Source organism: Homo sapiens, chromosome 20, assembly GCF_000001405.40.
Source record: "Homo sapiens chromosome 20, GRCh38.p14 Primary Assembly".
In the NCBI taxonomy this organism is placed as follows: Eukaryota; Metazoa; Chordata; class Mammalia; order Primates; family Hominidae; genus Homo; species Homo sapiens.
In genome coordinates, this window is record NC_000020.11 from 147,779 (window position 1) to 167,824 (window position 20,046).

Below are 20,046 nucleotides of genomic sequence, written 5' to 3' on the forward strand. Positions count from 1 at the left end.
CATTACATAGTAGAGGAGTTTTGAGAGGTGGCTTGTCCCATGTGGTAGGACATCATTGCCTCTTACACCCATGCTTATCTTTGCAGGCAGAACTCATGAACTCACACAAGAAGGTGGGCAGATGGAAGCAAGTTACTTCAGCAGAGGAGAATAGTAGGAAAAAAACATAACTTTAGAGCTGGATGTATCTGAGGTCATTCATGATCCCACCATATATCCACTCTTGGACCACAGACAAATGATTTCCCATCTTCGAGCCTGTTACTGAATTTGAAGAACAGAGAAAATACTCACTCCCACTCAAGGTACTTTGAGGGTTGCCAGAGTAATCTATTAAAATGTTAATCATATCATAGGGATTCAGCTGTAACAGGTTGTTCCCTGGATAAGAAACAGTACAGCACATTTCCCCAGGGCCCTGCCCACTGGGCCTTGGCTGTCTTGCCTGAGTATGGGTGATTATAGCCTATGTTTCACCTGGGGGAAGACGCATTAGGCTGAGAAGAGTGTAACAGAGTTGAGGGTCATGGGATCTCTTTGAACAGCCAGATGAGATTTTAAAGGTTCTAGTAGAACTTGCTGTGCTTACTTTTCAATAATCACCTTGATCACTACCTTGGAAACATCTTAGAGCTATTATCACATTGATTCTAGACGATGAATATAATCTCAGTGCTGCAGCCTGAAACATTGTCCTCCTGTCCTCTTGCCTTATATCTCATCCGTCCTTCACGCAGTGCTGGAACTTAGGTGGCAAATATTCTTTTCCCACTTTGGAGTTGACTAATGGCATTAGGAGGCCAAGGGAAAAGGAATCTTTATGGTGAGAGAAACTGCAATGTGCCAAGCACATTAATACACAATTTCTTAAACAAAAGCATTGTATGATAATTATGACAACATGATTAAAGCTGAGGAACCTGGAGTAAAATGTATCTAGGGTTACATCTAGGTTTGTTCCTTACTACTTTTACTCATCATGTGGTCTCTATATCAATTTCTTCATTTGCAAGACAGGTATAATCATGCATCTACCTCTTAGAATCACTCTAAAAATTAAAATAGATAAGGCATATAGGTCACCGTGATCTCTAGCACCAATGAAATTCTAAGAAATGTAGATTTTAAAAGGCATATGAGATATAGGTTATTCTGGTTTAAAATATGAAACGTTTAAAAAATAAAATATGTAAGTCCTGAGTTTCCGGGAGAAAAAGGGTCTTGCACAAGAACAACCATATTTGGGAGGCAATTTTACCTGTTCTCAAGGCCGCATCTCTACCCCATCTCATGCGAATCCTGACCCATATTTGGGAGGCAATTTTACCTGTTCTCAAGGCCGCATCTCTACCCCATCTCATGCGAATCCTGACCCATATTTGGGAGGCAATTTTACCTGTTCTCAAGGCCGCATCTCTACCCCATCTCATGCGAATCCTGACGACGTCCTCAAAGCTGAATAAATTTTTGCCTTAAATAAATTAAACGAGATTTAGATTTCACCAGTCACTGATACTCAATCCCAATTGGATATTCATTCAAAAGTCTGACTTCTCTCCTGAGGTGAGAGTAAGATTCCTGGGCACTTTTTCATAATACTTACCTTAACCTAGCTAAACACAATGGACACTCTTCTTTGAGGTGTCAGTGGAAATTAAGAGGAGAGTCTGAACTCTTACCTCCCACATGGGGCTTGCAGACAGGTGAAGATGGCGCTCCTCCCCTTTGTTGGTAATGGAGACCTAGAAGAAAGGCTGGGCATCCAGCTCCCACGCAGTCATATGAAGCAGCCCAGAGCAACATTCCCCTTCACTGCCTGTGCGGTGGCAGTAGAGACCTAGCAGTAGAGACCTAGCTGGGAGTCAGATCTCCCATCCCTCAACCAGTGGTAGTGATTGGCCTGGGGAGGAATCCCTTCCCTGCTGGTGCCATGTCAGTGAAAACTGAGGGGAGACTGAAATTGCCCTTCCTTCCAATAGTATAAAAGGCCTGAAGCAGACTTCCCTTCCCAGCCAGTACATTACCATTGAAGACCAAGGGGTGGTCTCAACTTCAATCCCTAGGGAGCCGTGGCTGGCATCAACCCTCCTTCCAGTCAGTGAGGATAGAGGATAGGAGGGTGCTGGAAAATAGGTGTCTTTAAAACTGAATAATGTTGTTTTTACCACAATTTTAAAAACTGAATAAGAAGACATGGCAGACCCCTGAAACTGGATAACTACACACGGAACTAACCAGAATTAACATGCAGAAGGTTTGAGAATAGAACTGCAGTGGGGAATACCACCTAGATTTTTAAAATAACAACTTGTATATATTTAAGGATATATGCAATATGATGTTTTGATATACATAGACATAGTAAAATGATTGCTATAATCAAATTAACATATCCTTCTCTTCACATAGTTATCATTTTTTGAGGAGACAGCACCTGAAATCCATCTTCTTAGCAAATTTCTAGTATACAACACCATATTATTAACTAGAGTCCCCATACTGCCCTTTAGCTCTCTAGACTTTATCCTACACAACTTCAACTTTGTACCCTTCGACGAGCATCCCCCCATTTCCTCCACCACCCGCCCCACCCCTGATAATCACTGGTCTACACTCTTCTATGTATTTGAATTTTTAAATTCCATGTATAAGTGAGATCATGCTGTACTTTTTTTCTGTGTCTGTCTTATTTCACTTAGCATAATGTCCTCTGGGTTCATCCATGTTGTTCTGAATGGCAAGCTCTCCTTTGTCAAGGCTGAATAATATGCCATTGTATATATATACAATTTATTTAGTGTGTTCATCTATCGATGTCGATAGATGATAATGTCTTCATCTATCAGCTTAGGTTGATTTCATATCTTGGCTATTGTGAATAATGCTGAGCACAGATATCTCTACATGGTGCCGATTTCATTTCTTTTTGGTATATACCAAGACGAGGGATTGATGGCTCATATACTAGTTCTGTTTTTATTTTTTTGAGAAGCCTCCATACTGTTTTACATCATTGTTGTACTAATTTACATTTCCACCAACAGTGCGCAAAAGTTCCCTTTACATTCTCACCAATACTTGTGATCTCTTGTCTTTGTGATAATAGTCATCCTAACAAGTGTGAAGTGATTTCTCATTGTGCTTTTGATTTGCATTTCCCTGATGATTAGTGATGTTGAGCACCTTTCCATACACTTGTTAGCCACTTTTATTTCTTCTCCAGAAATATTTCTGTTCATGTCTTTGCCCAATTTTCAAGTGGGCTCTTTGTTTTTTGCTACTGAGTTGTGTATGTTTCTTATATGTTTTTTATATTAACCTTATGTGATATATGGTGGGCAAGTATTTTCCTCCCATCCCATAAACTGCCTTCTCACTCTGTTGACTGTTTCCTTTGCTGTGCAACAAATGATCTTCAATGATAATACAAAGAATATGCAATACAGAAATGATAGTCACTTCAACAGATGGTGTTGGGAAAACTGGATTTCCACAGGCAGAACAAATGAAATGGATCCTTATCTTACACCACACACACACACACAAACTCAAAATGGATTTAAAGACTTAAATGTGAGCCTGGCAAACTTAAAACTCCTAAAATAAAACAGAAGGGAATATCTTTATGACTTTGGTCTAGGCAACAGTTGCTTGAATATGACATCAAAACCACAAGCAACAAAAGCAAAAATATATTAGTGGGACTATGGATACATTTGAAACAAACTACAAACTAGTAAAATCTCAGCAAAGAAATAGAAGATATAGGCCAGGCACGGTGGCTCACGCCTGTAATCCCAGCATTTTGGGAGGCCGAAGAGGGCGGATCACGAGGTCAGGAGATCGAGACCATCCTGGCTAACATGATAAAACCCCGTCTCTACTAAAAAAAAAAATACAAAAAATTAGTGGGGCATGGTGACAGGCACCTGTAGTCCCAGCTGCTTGGGAGGTTGAGGCAGGAGGATGGCGTGAACCTGGCAGGCGGAGGTTACAGTGAGCCAAGATCATGCCACTGCACTCCAGCCTGGGTGACAGAGCGAGACTCCATCTCAAAAAAAGAAAAACAGAAAAAAGAAAAAGAAATAGAAGATATGAAAATAATCAAATGGAAATTATAAATTTATGAAATGTAATCAAAGTAAAAAAGAAAAAGTCACTGTATAGGCTCAATAGTAGATGGAACATGACAGAGGAAAAAATAAGACAGATCTATAGAATTACCCAATCTAAAAACAGAGAAAAATAGACTGATAAAAATGAACAGAGCCACAGATACCTGTGGGACATAAAAAGATCTAATGTTCATGTCATCAGAGTCCTCAAGGAGAGGGAGAGTGTGGAACTGAAAAAAATATTTGAAGGAATAATGCCTGAAAAATATCCCAAGTGTGGCAGAATACATACATCTGTAATTCAAGATCTTGAATTAACCCAAAACAAGATAAACCCAAAGAAATCCATGCCAAGATAAAGTATAATCAAACTAAAACTAATAGCTAGAGACAGAAAAAAATCAAGCGAGCATTCAGAAACAATACACCACCCATGGTAAAACAATGGTTTGATTGATGGGATTTGTCATCTGAAACCATGGAAGCAAAAAAGAAATGTCATCACATGTTTCAAATGCCAAAATAAAGAACTATCAAATCCAAATCCTATATCTAGCAAAAAAAAAAAAAAAAAAGTTCTCTAGGAATAAACAGGGAAAGAAAAACATTCTCAAACAAGAAACTATTAAGGGAATTTGTCACTAGCAGCCCTATCCTAAAAATATAGTCAAAGAAAGTTCTCTAAACCAAAATGATAACCGGGGGCTTGGAACTTCAGAAAGGAAGAAGTCGAAGTCAATAGAATGGGTAAAATGGGAGGTGAATATAATAGACTATGCTTTTTTTTTTGCTTTATTTTTTTTTTATGCTTTCTTTTCTTGAGATAGTGTCTGGCTCTGTCGCCCGGACAGGAGTGCAGTGGTACAATCTCAGCTCACTGCAGCCTCGACCTCCTGGGATCAAAGGATCTTCCCTCCTGAGCCCAGTGAGTAGCTGGGACCACAGGAGCCGGCTAATTTTTATATTTTTTTGTAGAGACAGGGTTTCACTGTGTTGCCCAGGCTGGTCTCGAACTCTTAGACTCAAGCAATCTGCTGCCTCGGCCTCCCAAAGTGAGACTATCTTTTTATTAAAGAGTTTTGAAATCATGTTTGGTAGATTGAAGCAAAAATTGTAACATTGTCTGATGTGGTTCTAAATAGATGTAGAGGAAGTACTTAAACATTATAAGCTGGGTAAGGCAAAGAAATTTAAAGTGAGGTAAGTTTTTATACTTCATTCAAACTTGTAAAACTTTGACACCGTAGACTGTGATAAGTTAGGTACAGCAACCACTAAAAAAAATAAATAAATACAATAAGAAATTATAGCTAAATTATAGTGGAATTCTAAGGAACAAATAGAAAACAAAATATAAAATGGTAACTTAATCCCTAACATGTATCAAAAAGATACCCCATACAAATATTAATCATAAGAAAGTAGGAATGGCTATATTAACATCAGTTAAAGCAGACTTCAGAGCAAAACAAATTATCAAGGACAGAGAGGGAAATTATATAATGCCAAAAGGGTCAATCAACCAAGAAGACATGGCAGCCCTGATCGTCCACAAACTGAAAACCAGAGTTTCAAAATACCTGAAGCAAAAACTGATAAAACTAAGAGGAGAAATAAATTTACAATATCAGGCCAGGCGTGGTGACTCATCCCTGTAATTCCAGCACTTTGGGAGGCTGAGGCAGGCAAATCACTTGAGCTTGGGAGTTTGAGATCACCTGAGGCAACATAGTGAGACCCCCCTCTCTATAAAAGATACAAAAACTAAGGTGTGGTGGCCCACGCCTGTTGTCCCAGCTACTCAGGAGGCTGACATGGAAGGCTTGAGCCCAGGACATCGAGGCTGCCGTGAGCTGTGCACTCCAGCCTGGGTGACAGAGCGAGACCCCGTCTCAAAAAAAAAAAAAAAAAAAAAATTACAATATCAACTTCAACAGTTGATAGATAGGACAACTAGACATAAAATCCACAAGGGTGTAGAAGAATTTAAAAATACCACAAAGCAACAGGATCTAATAGACATTTATAAAACATTTCATCCAACAACAATGGAATACACTCCTTGGTGTTTATGCCAAGGAAATGAAAGTGTTTTTCTCCACAACTCCCGGGCAGGAATATCAATGGTAGTGTTATTTATAATAGCCCAAAAGAGTAAACAACCAAAACGTCATTCAACAGGTGAATGACTAACATAGGGTGGTACATCCATACAATGGAATACTTCTCAGCAGTAAAAAAAAAAAAAAAAATGAATTATTGATACATGCAACAGCTTATATAGATTATAAGAGCATTATGCTGAGTGATGAAAAAAGACAAAGGGTCACATAGTGTGTGACTATATTCACATAACATTGTCTAAAAATTATGAAATGTAGAACAAATTAGTGCTTTCCAGGGGTTATGAATAGTCAGGAGAGGGAGGGAAATATGCCAGTAAGACAATAAGAGAGGGAGATCTTTTCATAATGAATAATTCTGTATTTTGATTTGTTGATGGTTAAATGAATCTAAGAAGGATCTGATAATCTAGTATTAGACGCATAGTACAGTAGTGAACTTTCAGCCTCTAGAGAAGTGCTCTCCAATAGAAGTAACTAAAAAGATGGAAATGTTCTAAATCTGTACTATACAATATGTTAGCCACTGGTCATGTGGTTGTAAAGCACTTGATATGTGCTCTATAATATTTTGAGCAAGTTTCTTATGTTTTCTGTGCCTTTGAGTTTCTCATTTGTAGAATGGAGATAATAATATCTACCTCAAAGTGTTGCTGTAAAGGTAAATGAGTTTATGTATGTAAGACACCGACAGGAGTGCCAGCACATAGAAAGTGTTATACAAGGGTTAGCCATTTGTTATTGTCATTGTTGTGTTTTGTTCTCTTTCTAATGTCTGGACCTTCAAATGATTCAGACTCATGGGACCATACTTCATTCTGTTTTTATAACTTTAACCTGTAAGATTCTCATTTTAATTGGAATTTCATATTTAGGAATTCTTGGGTGCCTTGGATATATGAAGAAAAGATTCACATCTGCTTCCACTAAACAACTAGCGAATTAACAACTGAGATTTCTTATAATTAAATTATTTACTTGATTTTTTTAATCCATATAAATAGCTTGAACTTAGGTTGAAACCCATGAGAATTTGTGGCTACAGTTCATAGGGTTAATATTTACCTTCTCCATCCAGAGCCAAGGTTAATGCTGACAAAATACAATCTAATACAGATTAATCTGTGTGTGTGTGTATGTATACACTCGTGTCAGAGAGAGAGATTTCATTCTTCCTTAGGCTGAGATTGTTGCCTTTGAATCTCAGGTTTATATAAGGGTATCAATTATATGTCTTCCCTAGGACTAGATCTTAGCTTTATACATCTCACATAGCCATCAAAATAATGTTCAACTTATCTTTCAGGGTTTGCAATCTTAGTTTTTGGCCTGTGCAGATTCCTTTCATTTTTGACGGTTTCTCAATGCAGTAATTTCCTTTTTACATTTACCCAACTTTTTTGGTTATTTTCACCAGATACATTGTTCAATATATCTATTCTACTATATTCTATTAATAACAGTCTACTATATATGTGTCTTATTGTCTAATATTGCTGAAATCTTTTTTTAATCCAATAATGAATCTCTGTCATCTAATCAGTGAGTTTAAGCCATGTGAATGTATTATAACTACTGATCTATTAGGACTTTTTTCTGCCCTCCAGTTGTGACTTATCTATTCCTCATTTTTTTTAGTTTCTGTTGGATGGATCATATGTTCTTCTGCTAATATGAATATTATAATTTTATTTTTATTTGTTTTATTAAAAATTTGTCCTTGCTCTTAGGACCCATTCCTATCCTTATATTTATTATTACTAATTTAACATCCAGCTTCAGAAATACAACTTTAATAGGAAGGCTTTTTGTATTTCTCCTGACTGCTCAGACTTAGGGTCTTTATTTGATGCTCCACCACCAAGTCACCTATAAGGAAAGTTTGCATTCACAGGAAGACTATAAATAATAAAACCAATCCCTTGACTAGGACTTAAACCATGTAAAAGCTGGTGGCAAAAGTAAAGGGAGGTGACCCTTGAGACCTCTGAGGTAACTGCTCTTAAATTTACATTTGCCTCTAAAAAGGATTTCTTATATGTCAACATCTCTCTGTTTAAACATATTCTTGTGTAAAACCACTACGTGACCTGAATAATGGCCATAGGGCTCATCTCTAAGCCAACTGGCTTATTTATTTAATGCATCTCAGTGGTTAACAGGGTTGAAATTTTTTGAAAACTGCAATCAATGATCAAAGAATGATCTAGGTAAACATCGATTCCTTGTGGCAACATTTTAATATTTTCAAAGACAAGGTACAACTGGTAGAAAAAAAATACCCTCATGCATCTTTTTCTTCTAATTGTGGTAAAATATATGACATAACATTGGCCATTTTAGCCATTTTTCCTTTTATTTTTAGTTGACACATAATTGTACTTATTTATAGGATACAAAGTGATATTTCAATACATGCATATAATGTGTAATGATCAAACCAGGGTAATTAGCATATCCGTCACCTCAAACATTTATCATTTGTATTGGGAACATTCAAAATCCTCTCTTCTAGCCTTTTAAAAGTATACAATAAATTGTAGTTAACCATATTCACCTTACAGTGCTACAACACCAGAAGTCATTCCTCCTATCTATAATTTTGCATCCATTAGCCAATCTCTCTCCATCCTCCCCTCTCCCTAATCATTACCAGCCTCTAATATTAATATCTGCAACACTACTCTCTACTTCCATGTGCTCAACTTTTTTAGCTCCCATATATAAATAGGAACATGTGGTAATCTTTCTGTGCCTGACATTTCACATAACATAATGTCCTCCAGGCTATCCATGTTGTTGCAAAGGACAGAATTTCATTATTTTTATGGGTGAATAGTATTCCATTGTGTGTGTGTGTGTATATATATATATATATATTCCATTGTGTGTTATGTATGTATAGTATTCCATTGTGTGCATATATATGTATATATGTGTGTACATATATATATACATAATATATATTCTTCTGCACATGGAAATCCAGTTTCTCCAGCATGATTTATTGAAGAGGGTATCCTTTCCCCAGTGTATGTTCTTGGTGCTTTTATAAAAAATCAGGTGACCTCAGATCAGACCCAACTACATCATACCTTCTTTCGAAATGTGCAAGAAACCTACTAGAAATTCTTATTGTTAGAGTTTCAGATTTATGTCCTGGTTTATACTGCCACATTCATTCTTGGAGGTGAGTACATTTCGATCTTGGTCCGGCTGCGCAGAGAGTCAAAGCAGGAAAATCACAGATTCTTCCCAGCAGTCTACAGCCTACACAGCGGCATTTGGTGCGATGGGATGGAACATGCTGTATCTCTATTCCATGTGGGGGTAAAGTGGGTGGCCTGAAATTTCCTGTGTCTGCCTGCATGATGCAAAGCTCACAGTTCAGAAGCTTAAGGACACACTTCATATCATCCCATCTGTTCTGGTTCAGTGCATAAGAATCTAAGTCTCTGAGGAAGGTAGCATAGTGTGCAGTTCACTGGACCAAAAGCTTTGGCTGCACCTCTTCTGGAAAGCCTGGCCATGGGGCTCTTCATGATCATTGCAATTCTGCTGTTCCAGAAACCCACAGGTAAACCAAACCAGAAGCTCACTCAAATCAACAGTGGGATGGAGCATTTTCAGGAGCCAAAGGGAACTTCATAATCCACACTAAAGGGAAATAGAGCCCCCAAAGATGGCTAAAGTTTATCCAACATCATCAGAAATTTCCTCTTTCTGGAGCCTTATTCCATGTTACTATCCTTAAAGAGGAGTACTCACTGAGCTAAAAAGAGGTCATAATTTCTTCTGGGAAAGATGTGTTGTTATAGAAAGGAATGATGCCAATATCTAGGGATACCTTTATGTCTTTGGATATGGTTTTTACTCTGATGCTCAGCTATATTTCCTTTTACTCAAATATATATATGTGTGTGTGTGTGTGTGTGTGTGTGTGTGTGCATGAATAGAGGAAGAAGCAAATTTTGGAGTTAGGTTTAAGAAACATGCCTTCAATATCTACTAGTTTGTCAACTTTAAGTAGTGAAGACTCTAGGAGCCTCAGTTTCCTCATCTATGGAGATAATGACACCTGGTTAACAGGGGTTTTATTAAATGATATAACCTATGTGAAGCTTGGCACATACTGAGAACTCAAAAATTAGAGTTTCCTTTCCTCTTTCAAAACCAGATTTCTTACATGTGTCCCTTATTATAAGAATAGTAATGGCCTATTCCTGACCCTCTACATTCCTAAGACCCAATAGACTACTACCTTACTGGATAACATGAAAGTCATTCTTGACCCTGATAGTGGGTTTGAACTCAGGAGAACAGTTTGATTCAGACATAAACACATAGTAACAATACATTGTTCTCTGGGCATCAGAGGAGGTGCAGTAGAAGGTAGTGCTCTGGGAGCATTCAGGATGCAGGCAGATTTGCTGAGGTTCCTATGTAGAGCATAGTTCCATAGCCTAGAATCAAGGGTTCAGCTCCTTTATTTTCTCAGATAAGATCTTATGTTCTTGGCAGAGTCTATCAGATGTTAAGGGAGGCCTAAAACCTCACAGGACCTAAATATAAGTGATCCAGTTAAATACAAACACTGAGGTTGACCTTGTCGGAAAATCCTCTTCAGAATATATGAGGGTCTGCCTTGTGGATACCCCATACCCCTAATTCCTACAAGCCTCCTCTGTCTTCCCCAAAACCAACGTGCCTTCAGTCTCAAACACTGATATTGTTCTATTGCTCCTTTCTGTGTATAGTAACCGAACAACTTAAGAAGTGCTGGAATAACTATGTACAAGGACATTGCAGGAAAATCTGCAGAGTAAATGAAGTGCCTGAGGCACTATGTGAAAATGGGAGATACTGTTGCCTCAATATCAAGGAACTGGAAGCATGTAAAAAAATTACAAAGCCACCTCGTCCAAAGCCAGCAACACTTGCACTGACTCTTCAAGACTATGTTACAATAATAGAAAATTTCCCAAGCCTGAAGACACAGTCTACATAAATCAAATACAATTTCGTTTTCACTTGCTTCTCAACCTAGTCTAATAAACTAAGGTGATGAGATATACATCTTCTTCCTTTTGGTTTCTTGATCCTTAAAATGACCTTCGAGCATATTCTAATAAAGTGCATTGCCAGTTTTCTGTCTCATTTTGTTCTTTAACCAGGGGTTGAACACTCATTATATACTAGGTAATGAATTGATAAGAACTCAGAACCTCTCCTTGAAAAGGGGATATGACAAGTACACTAAAAAAAAAAAGTCCTATAGTGTGGAAGTCTGGAATAAGAAACTCAGAAACACTGACATGTAATTTAGGAGAGGGAAAGGTGAAGCAAATATTCAGGGGAAATTCATGAGTAAGTTTAGGAATAAAGCAGTGTCTTGTAGTAAATAAGTAAATAGTAAAGCAGTAAATAAGTAGGATTTCCATGGATGAGGTTTGGTAGGGAAGGCAATTTGAGTGAACAGAATGGGAGGAAATTGGAAAAGACAGAACATTTCAAGACACTATACATGCACTTTGTTTGGATGAAGAACAGAGCACTCAAAGTTGAACTATGGGGGAAGTCTGATTTCCTAAGCTCCTGTGTACCAGCAGTGAACTGGGAAGACGGAGATAAATAAGATTCCACTGTTGTGGAGCTCAACAGTGGAGCTCAACGCTTCCTCTATGAAGTGGAGAAGACCTAAGTAAATAACTCCAACACAAAAGTTTTTAGGTTTTTGCTTTGTTGTTGTTGTTGTTGTTGATGTGTTCATCTTTTTTGTTATTGGGGCCCTGTGGAGTTTAGGGGAAATGTAAAAGATCTAGGAATTGGTCCAAATTGTAGTGCTTTCATTGTCTTGATATGCAAGAAGAATAATCCATGTACATACTCTGCTGAATTCTTAAAGATGTACCTTCTGAATATGATTAACATGGAAAGTTTCTTCTTCAACTACATTTCAAAGTCATTTGCTAGTTTTGTTTCTTATATCATTTCACCATAACAATTACAAGCATTTTAAAGATTTAGTTCATCCACTATAACATTTACCACTAATGTGTGGCATGTGTTCTCTTAATCTCTCTCTTTCTGGTGTTCTAGGGCTGGTATAGGGAGCACCTAAAACAAGCCTAAAATATCTTGTGGTGCCAGAAAGTAAGCAATTGCTTAATAATCAAAGGATAGGGTCTGCAAACACGGACAATTTGACTTCCTCTTTTCCTAATTGAATACCCTTTATTTCCTTCTCCTGCCTGATTGCCCTGGCGAGAACTTCCAACACTATGTTGAATAGGAGTGGTGAGAGAGGGCATCCCTGTCTTGTGCCAGTTTTCAAAGGGAATGCTTCCAGTTTTTGCCCATTCAGTATGATACTGGCTGTGGGTTTGTCATAGATAGCTCTTATTATTTTGAAATACGTCCCATCAATACCTAATTTATTGAGAGTTTTTAGCATGAAGGGTTGTTGAATTTTGTCAAAGGCTTTTTCTGCATCTATTGAGATAATCATGTGGTTTTTGTCTTTGGCTCTGTTTATATGCTGCATTACATTTATTGATTTGCGTATATTGAACCAGCCTTGCATCCCAGGGATGAAGCCCACTTGATCATGGTGGATAAGCTTTTTGATGTGCTGCTGGATTCGGTTTGCCAGTATTTTATTGAGGATTTTTGCATCAATGTTCATCAAGGATATTGGTCTAAAATTCTCTTTTTCGGTTGTGTCTCTGCCCGGCTTTGGTATCAGAATGATGCTGGCCTCATAAAATGAGTTAGGGAGGATTCCCTCTTTTTCTATTGATTGGAATAGTTTCAGAAGGAATGGTACCAGTTCCTCCTTGTACCTCTGGTAGAATTCGGCTGTGAATCCATCTAGTCCTGGACTCTTTTTGGTTGGTAAGCTATTGATTATTGCCACAATTTCAGATCCTGTTATTGGTCTATTCAGAGATGCAACTTCTTCCTAGTTTAGTCTTGGGAGAGTGTATGTGTCGAGGAATTTATCCATTTCTTCTAGATTTTCTAGTTTATTTGTGTAGAGGTGTTTGTAGTATTCTCTGATGGTAGTTTGTATTTCTGTGGGATCGGTGGTGATATCCCCTTTATTGTATATGTAGAAAACCCCATTGTCTCAGCCCAAAATCTCCTTAAGCTGATAAGCAACTTTAGCAAAGTCTCAGGATACAAAATCAATTTACCAAAATCATAAGCATTCTTATACACCAACAACAGACAAACAGAGAGCCAAATCATGAGTGAACTACCATTCACAATTGCTTCAAAGAGAATAAAATACCTAGGAATCCAACTTGCAAGGGATGTGAAGGACCTCTTCAAGGAGAACTACAAACCACTGCTCAAGGAAGTAAAAGAGGATACAAACAAATGGAAGAACATTCCATGCTCATGGGTAGGAAGAATCAATATCGTGAAAATCGCCATACTGCCCAAGGTAATTTACAGATTCAATGCCATCCCCATCAAGCTACCAATGCCTTTCTTCACAGAATTGGAAAAAAACTACTTTAAAGTTCATATGGAACCAAAAAAGAGCCCGCATCGCCAAGTCAATCTTAAGCCAAAAGAACAAAGCTGGAGGCATCACACTACCTGACTTCAAACTCTACTACAAGGCTACAGTAACCAAAACAGCATGGTACTAGTACCAAAACAGAGATGTAGATCAATGGAACAGAACAGAGCCCTCAGAAATAACGCCGCATATCTACAACTATCTGATCTTTGACAAACCTGAGAAAAACAAGCAATGGGGAAAGGATTCCCTATTTAATAAATGGTGCTGGGAAAACTGGTAGCCATATGTAGAAAGCTGAAACTGGATCCCTTCCTTACACCTTATACAAAAATCAATTCAAGATGGATTAAAGACTTAAACGTTAGACCTAAAACCATAAAAACCCTAGAAGAAAACCTAGGCATTACCATTCAGGACATAGGCATGGGCAAGGACTTCATGTCTAAAACACCAAAAGCAATGGCAACAAAAGACAAAATTGACAAATGGGATCTAATTAAACTAAAGAGCTTCTGCACAGCAAAAGAAACTACCATCAGAGTGAACAGGCAACCTACAAAATGCGAGAAAATTTTCGCAACCTACTCATCTGACAAAGGGTTAATATCCAGAATCTACAATGAACTCAAACAAATTTACAAGAAAAAAACAAACAACCCCATCAAAAAGTGGGTGAAGGACATGAACAGACACTTCTCAAAAGAAGACATTTATGCAACCAAAAAACACATGAAAAAATGCTCATCATCACTGGCCATCAGAGAAATGCAAATCAAAACCACAATGAGATATCATCTCACACCAGTTAGAATGGCAATCATTAAAAAGTCAGGAAACAACAGGTGCTGGAGAGGATGTGGAGAAATAGGAACACTTTTACACTGTTGGTGGGACTGTAAACTAGTTCAACCATTGTGGAAGTCAGTGTGGCGATTCCTCAGGGATCTAGAACTAGAAATACCATTTGACCCAGCCATCCCATTACTGGGTATATACCCAAATGACTATAAATCATGCTGCTATAAAGACACATGCACACGTATGTTTATTGCGGCATTATTCACAATAGCAAAGACTTGGAACTAACCCAAATGTCCAACAATAATAGACTGGATTAAGAAAATGTGGCACATATACACCATGGAATACTATGCAGCCATAAAAAATGATGAGTTCATGTCCTTTGTAGGGACATGGATGAAATAGGAAATCATCATTCTCAGTAAACTATCGCAAGAACAAAAAACCAAACACCGCATATCCTCACTCATAGGTGGGAATTGAACGAGATCACATGGACACAGGAAGGGGAATATCACACTCTGGGGACTGTTGTGGGGTGGGGGGAGGGGGGAGGGATAGCACTGGGAGATATACCTAAGGCTAGATGACGAGTTAGTGGGTGCAGCACACCAACATGGCACATGTATACATATGTAACTCACCTGCACAATGTGCACATGTACCCTAAAACTTAAAGTATTTAAAAAAAAAAAAAAGGATAGGGTCATATTAAAAGAACACAGGAGTCGGTCTAAAAGAGCTTCAAATGACCAAAGCTGCGACAATTTGAGCAATAAAATAAATAAGATAGCATTGGATTATAATACAACATATAATAAATATCTATGAGTCCATGATGATATGAATAAATAATTGAATAAATTGGAAAATTGGTGAGAACAGATGTGCCATATAGAATAATTCCCAATAATTCATACAGATACTCCCTGCTGAAGAAGGTGGAGCTTGACCTCCCTCTCCCTTGAGCATGGGCTGTATTTAGCTACTTGTTTCCAAAGAGAAGTGTGTGGAAAGGAGTTAAAAAATAATTTCACCTGGATAAACCTGATAAGGTCATGTTTCAGATTTTATGGAGAAATCATATTGATAACATGAACCTGTGATATGATCTGATGAGAATGGCACTTCACTTCTGTTTTCTTCCTCCCAAAACCCTGCGACCCAAGACAAACAATGAAAAACATCAGAAAAACTCAAATTCAGTGGCATTCTAAACAATATTTGACCAGTATTTCTAAAAACTGTCAAATTTATCAAAAAGGAAGAAATTCTGAGCCACAGTCAAAGACCAGAGAAGCCTAAAGAGACAGGACAACTAAAGGTAATGTGGTATCCTGGATGGACTCTTGGAACAGGAAAAGAACATTAAGGAAAAACTAGTGGTGATAATAGTAATAATAATAAGTGTAGAGTCATTTAGTAGCAATGTATTTAGCTGTGATGGCTGCATTGTGGTAATATAAGATGTTAACAATAGCAGAAACTGGGTGAATATTTGGGAGCTCTCTGTATTATCTTTGCAACATTTCTATAAATCTAAAACTATTCTAAAACTGAAAATGTATTTAAATTTTAGAAAACTGACCACAAAATCAATTTGGCACATTCCTTTTCTTCTTATTTACGAAAGAGCTTCTCATTTCTTCATTGAATGCTTGGTAGAATCTAATGGTAAATTCAACTGGAACGGAACTCTTTACAGGAAGTATTGTTATAGATTAAGTTTATTGCAGGTTAAAAGGCAATTCAGTTTTCTATGCCTTCTAGTCAACTGTTGTATTTGGCATATATACTTTTCCCATGTTCTAAGATTTTTATACTTGCTATCCTAAAACTCTTGTAATATCTTCTTTTTATCTTATTAATGCCTGTAAGATATGTAATGACACCTTCTTTTTCATTTTTGACATCTATTATTTGTTTTATTTTCTCTTTTTTCTTGATAAGTCTCACATTCACTTATTAATTTGATTTATCTTTACAGAAAACAAATTTTCTTCATTAATTTTAGTTTAGTTTCCATTTCTTAGACTGTGACTTGCATTGCCCAATTGAAAGTGATTGAAAGTGACAGGTTCACTTCCAAGTGGAAACTTAAGAGCCAGTGTGTCCATGTGCAGTGGCTCACACCTGTAATCTCAGCACTTTGGGATGCTGAGGCGGGCAGATCACCTGAGGTCAGGAGTTTGAGACCAGCCTGGCCATGGTGGTGAAGCCCTGTCTCTACTAAAAACACAAAAATTAGCCAGGCATGGTGGCAGGGCCTGTAATCCCAGCTATTTGGGAGGCTAAGGAAGGAGAATCACTTGAGCCCAGAAGGCGGAGGTTGCAATGAGCTGAGATCATGCCTCTGCACTCTAGCCTAGGTGACAGAGCCAGACTCTTTCTCAAAAGAAAAAAAAAAAGAGCCAGTGTGCAGTTTAACCGTCTCTCATCTCTCTGCCAAGGTGATTGTGGAAGCACTGTTGACATAGAGCCTCTGTCAGCCTGAAGCCCCGAGTGACCATGAAAGCAGGGTCATTCTTTTGACCTAAAATAGACATCTAGCACTGCCAGAAATAACCTTTTGGGAAGTTACTCTATGAGAGCTGAGGTTTGTTTTTTATTTTGTTTTATATATATTTTTTAAATCAGGAATAACTTAGACCAGGGTGAACAAACTACTGCTGTCAGGGCAAATCCAGCCCATAGCCTGCTTTTGGAAATAAATTTGTATTAGAACACACACACACACACACACACACACACACACACACACACATACACACATACACACAAATATATCTTCACTAATGTTCTTTTTTTCTTGTTTTTCAAAAACTTTTACATACCATAAAATTCACCTGTTTTAAGTGCACAATTTAGTGTCATTTCTATTTTTTATTTTCGGTATGCTTTTCTTTTTGTAACTTTGTTAGGTGCATGTTTATCTTTATAAAAGAAAAGCCTTCCTTCTTTTCAAATATGAGAGTTTAAAGTTGTAAGTTTCTCTCTATACACAGCCTGAGCACCATCCCACAAATTTTCAATATAGAGTATGTTCATTGTTACATTATAAACCTTCTCATTTCTCTTAAACCATGAGCATATAAATAACATATAGATTATATAAAGACTATGGATACAAATGTTAATCATGCAATTTTGTCAACTAGTTATAATTACATATACAGTAACATTACTTTGGTGATATGTAAACCAAAATGTAAACAAAACTTGAAAGCAAACAGAAAATATCATATGCAAAAACTTGTACACACTTGTTCTTCATACAGTTTGTTTTCAAATATGATCTTCTATCTTGTTATAGGTTTTCTATGGCTTTAAACTGACATTTATTTTTCATTTATATTGTCCTCTGTTATGATTCTTCCAGTCCTGAACTTCCTGCATCAGTAATTTTTAAAGATATTTTTGGTTTACAGAAGTTTACCAATTATTACCATAATTTATCATCAATTTATTAACTCTCACCATCATTTCAAAAGTGAAAGAAATTTCACTACCTAAAAATATGTATGTATGACATTTTAGAAGAAAACAGACTTTTAACTAAATGCATTCATGTCTCTTAAAATTTAGTTCTATCATTTTAATTTTTTTCATTTTATTACAGACCAGTTTAAACTTTGTCAGAACCCCATTAGGGCCCATGTATCCATTTAACAACAAAATTCTGTAATTCTTAAATTCTCAAATTCATAATTTATATAACCACTGATACCCAATTGGTAGTAGTCTTCTGAGGAATGTTTCTATTCCATTATTCCTTGTCTTCTCTAATCACTCTCTGAATCTAAACTTCTCTTTAGTTTTTTTTCCCTATAATTAGATGTTGAGGTGTTTGGCTTACTTATCTTCTTTATTAGAATAAATAATATGTATCCCATCCCTAATGATTAGCACTTTGTCAATTTTTATATGTTTATGACAGGTGGACTCACTCTTATTCTAAACTCTGATATTAGTGATATCCAATGCCCCATTCAGAGACCATTAAATTAAAAATGCACTTATTACTTCTGGGACTTTCTAGACAATTTCCTTCATCTTTAAAAGATCTGGGACAAACACCACAAGCTTTGTCCCACATGAAAGTTCTCTGCCCAAGTAATGAAGCATCTAAAAATGCTAGTAAAGATATTAGATTTTAATATAACACATCAATAATTATATTTAATATAAATGATCTAAATCAGGGGTCCCCACCCCCCAGGCCATGGACCGGTATAGGTTTGTGGCCTGTTAGGAACTGGGCCACAGAGCAGGAGGTGAGCAGCAGTGGGAGTGAGCATTACCACCTGAGCTCTGCCTCCTGTCAGATCAGCTGTGGCATTAGATTCTCATAGGAGTTTGAACCTTATTGTGAACTGCACATGCAAAGGATCTTTGCGTGCTCCTTATGAGAATCTAATGCCTGATGATCCAAAGTGGAACAGTTTCATCCTGAAACCATCTTCCCATCCCTGCCAGTTTATGGAAAAATTGACTGCATTAAACCGGTCCCTGGTGCCAAAAAGGCTGGGGACCACTGATCTAAATACACCAATAAAAAGAAAAAGATTGTAAGATTGGATTTTAAAAGACCTGACTCTATACTGACCACAAAAAAAAACCCTCACTTTATTCTTTATTGCATATATTTATGGTGTACAACATGATGTTTTGATACATGTTGTGAAATGGTTAATATAGTCAGGCAAATCAACACGTTCATCATCTCACATAGTTTCCCTTTGTGTGTGTGTCGCAAGAGCACACTACTTTTTTAACAAAAATTCCAAGTAAAATATAATATTATCATAGACCTCACGTTGTACATTAGACCTCTAGACTTTTTTAATCTTACGTATCTGCAATTTTTTATCCTTTGACCTACATCTCTCCATTTCCTTCCCCTCCAACCACACCCCTGGTAACGACCACATTATTCTCTATCTCCTTGTATTCAGCTTTCCTTTTTTTTCTTTTAAGATTCCATGTATAAGTGAAATAGTGCAGTATTTTTCTTTCTGTGTCAGTTTATTTCATTTAGCATAATGTTCTTCATGTTCATTCATGCCTTGGCAAATGGCAGGATCTCCTTTTTGAAGAGTAAATAATATTCCATTGTGTGTGTGTGTCACAGTTTATCCATTCATCTATCAACAGTTCACTTGTTTCAAAATTTTGACTATTGTGAATAATGCTGCAATAAATATGAAAGTACAGATACCTCTATGAAGTTAAGTGGTGATTTCATTTCATTTTTTTTTTTAAAGACAGGGTGTCACAGTGTTACTCTGTAGCCCAGGCTGGAATGCAGTGGTGCAATCATAGCTCACTGTAAATCTCAAACTCCTAGGCTCAAGGAATCCTGCCTCAGTCTCCTGAGTAGCTGGGACTACAGACACACACCATGCTTAGTCAATGTTTTTTAGGTACAGGGTCTTGCTGTGTAGCCCAGGCTGGGCTCAAAGTCCTGACCTCA

The 20,046-nt window shown here is 37.3% G+C and overlaps 1 protein-coding gene across 1 annotated transcript; it reads left to right on the top strand.

Moving 5' to 3' along the window:
* The first annotated feature begins 9,675 nt into the window (after nucleotides 1-9,675).
* DEFB127 (defensin beta 127) lies at nucleotides 9,676-11,385 on the top strand. Its single transcript, NM_139074.4, has 2 exons — nucleotides 9,676-9,815; nucleotides 10,996-11,385. The coding sequence occupies exons 1-2, from the start codon at nucleotides 9,767-9,769 to the stop codon at nucleotides 11,244-11,246; spliced, it is 300 nt and encodes a 99-aa protein (NP_620713.1). The 5' UTR covers nucleotides 9,676-9,766; the 3' UTR covers nucleotides 11,247-11,385.
* Nucleotides 11,386-20,046: the final 8,661 nt, after the last annotated feature.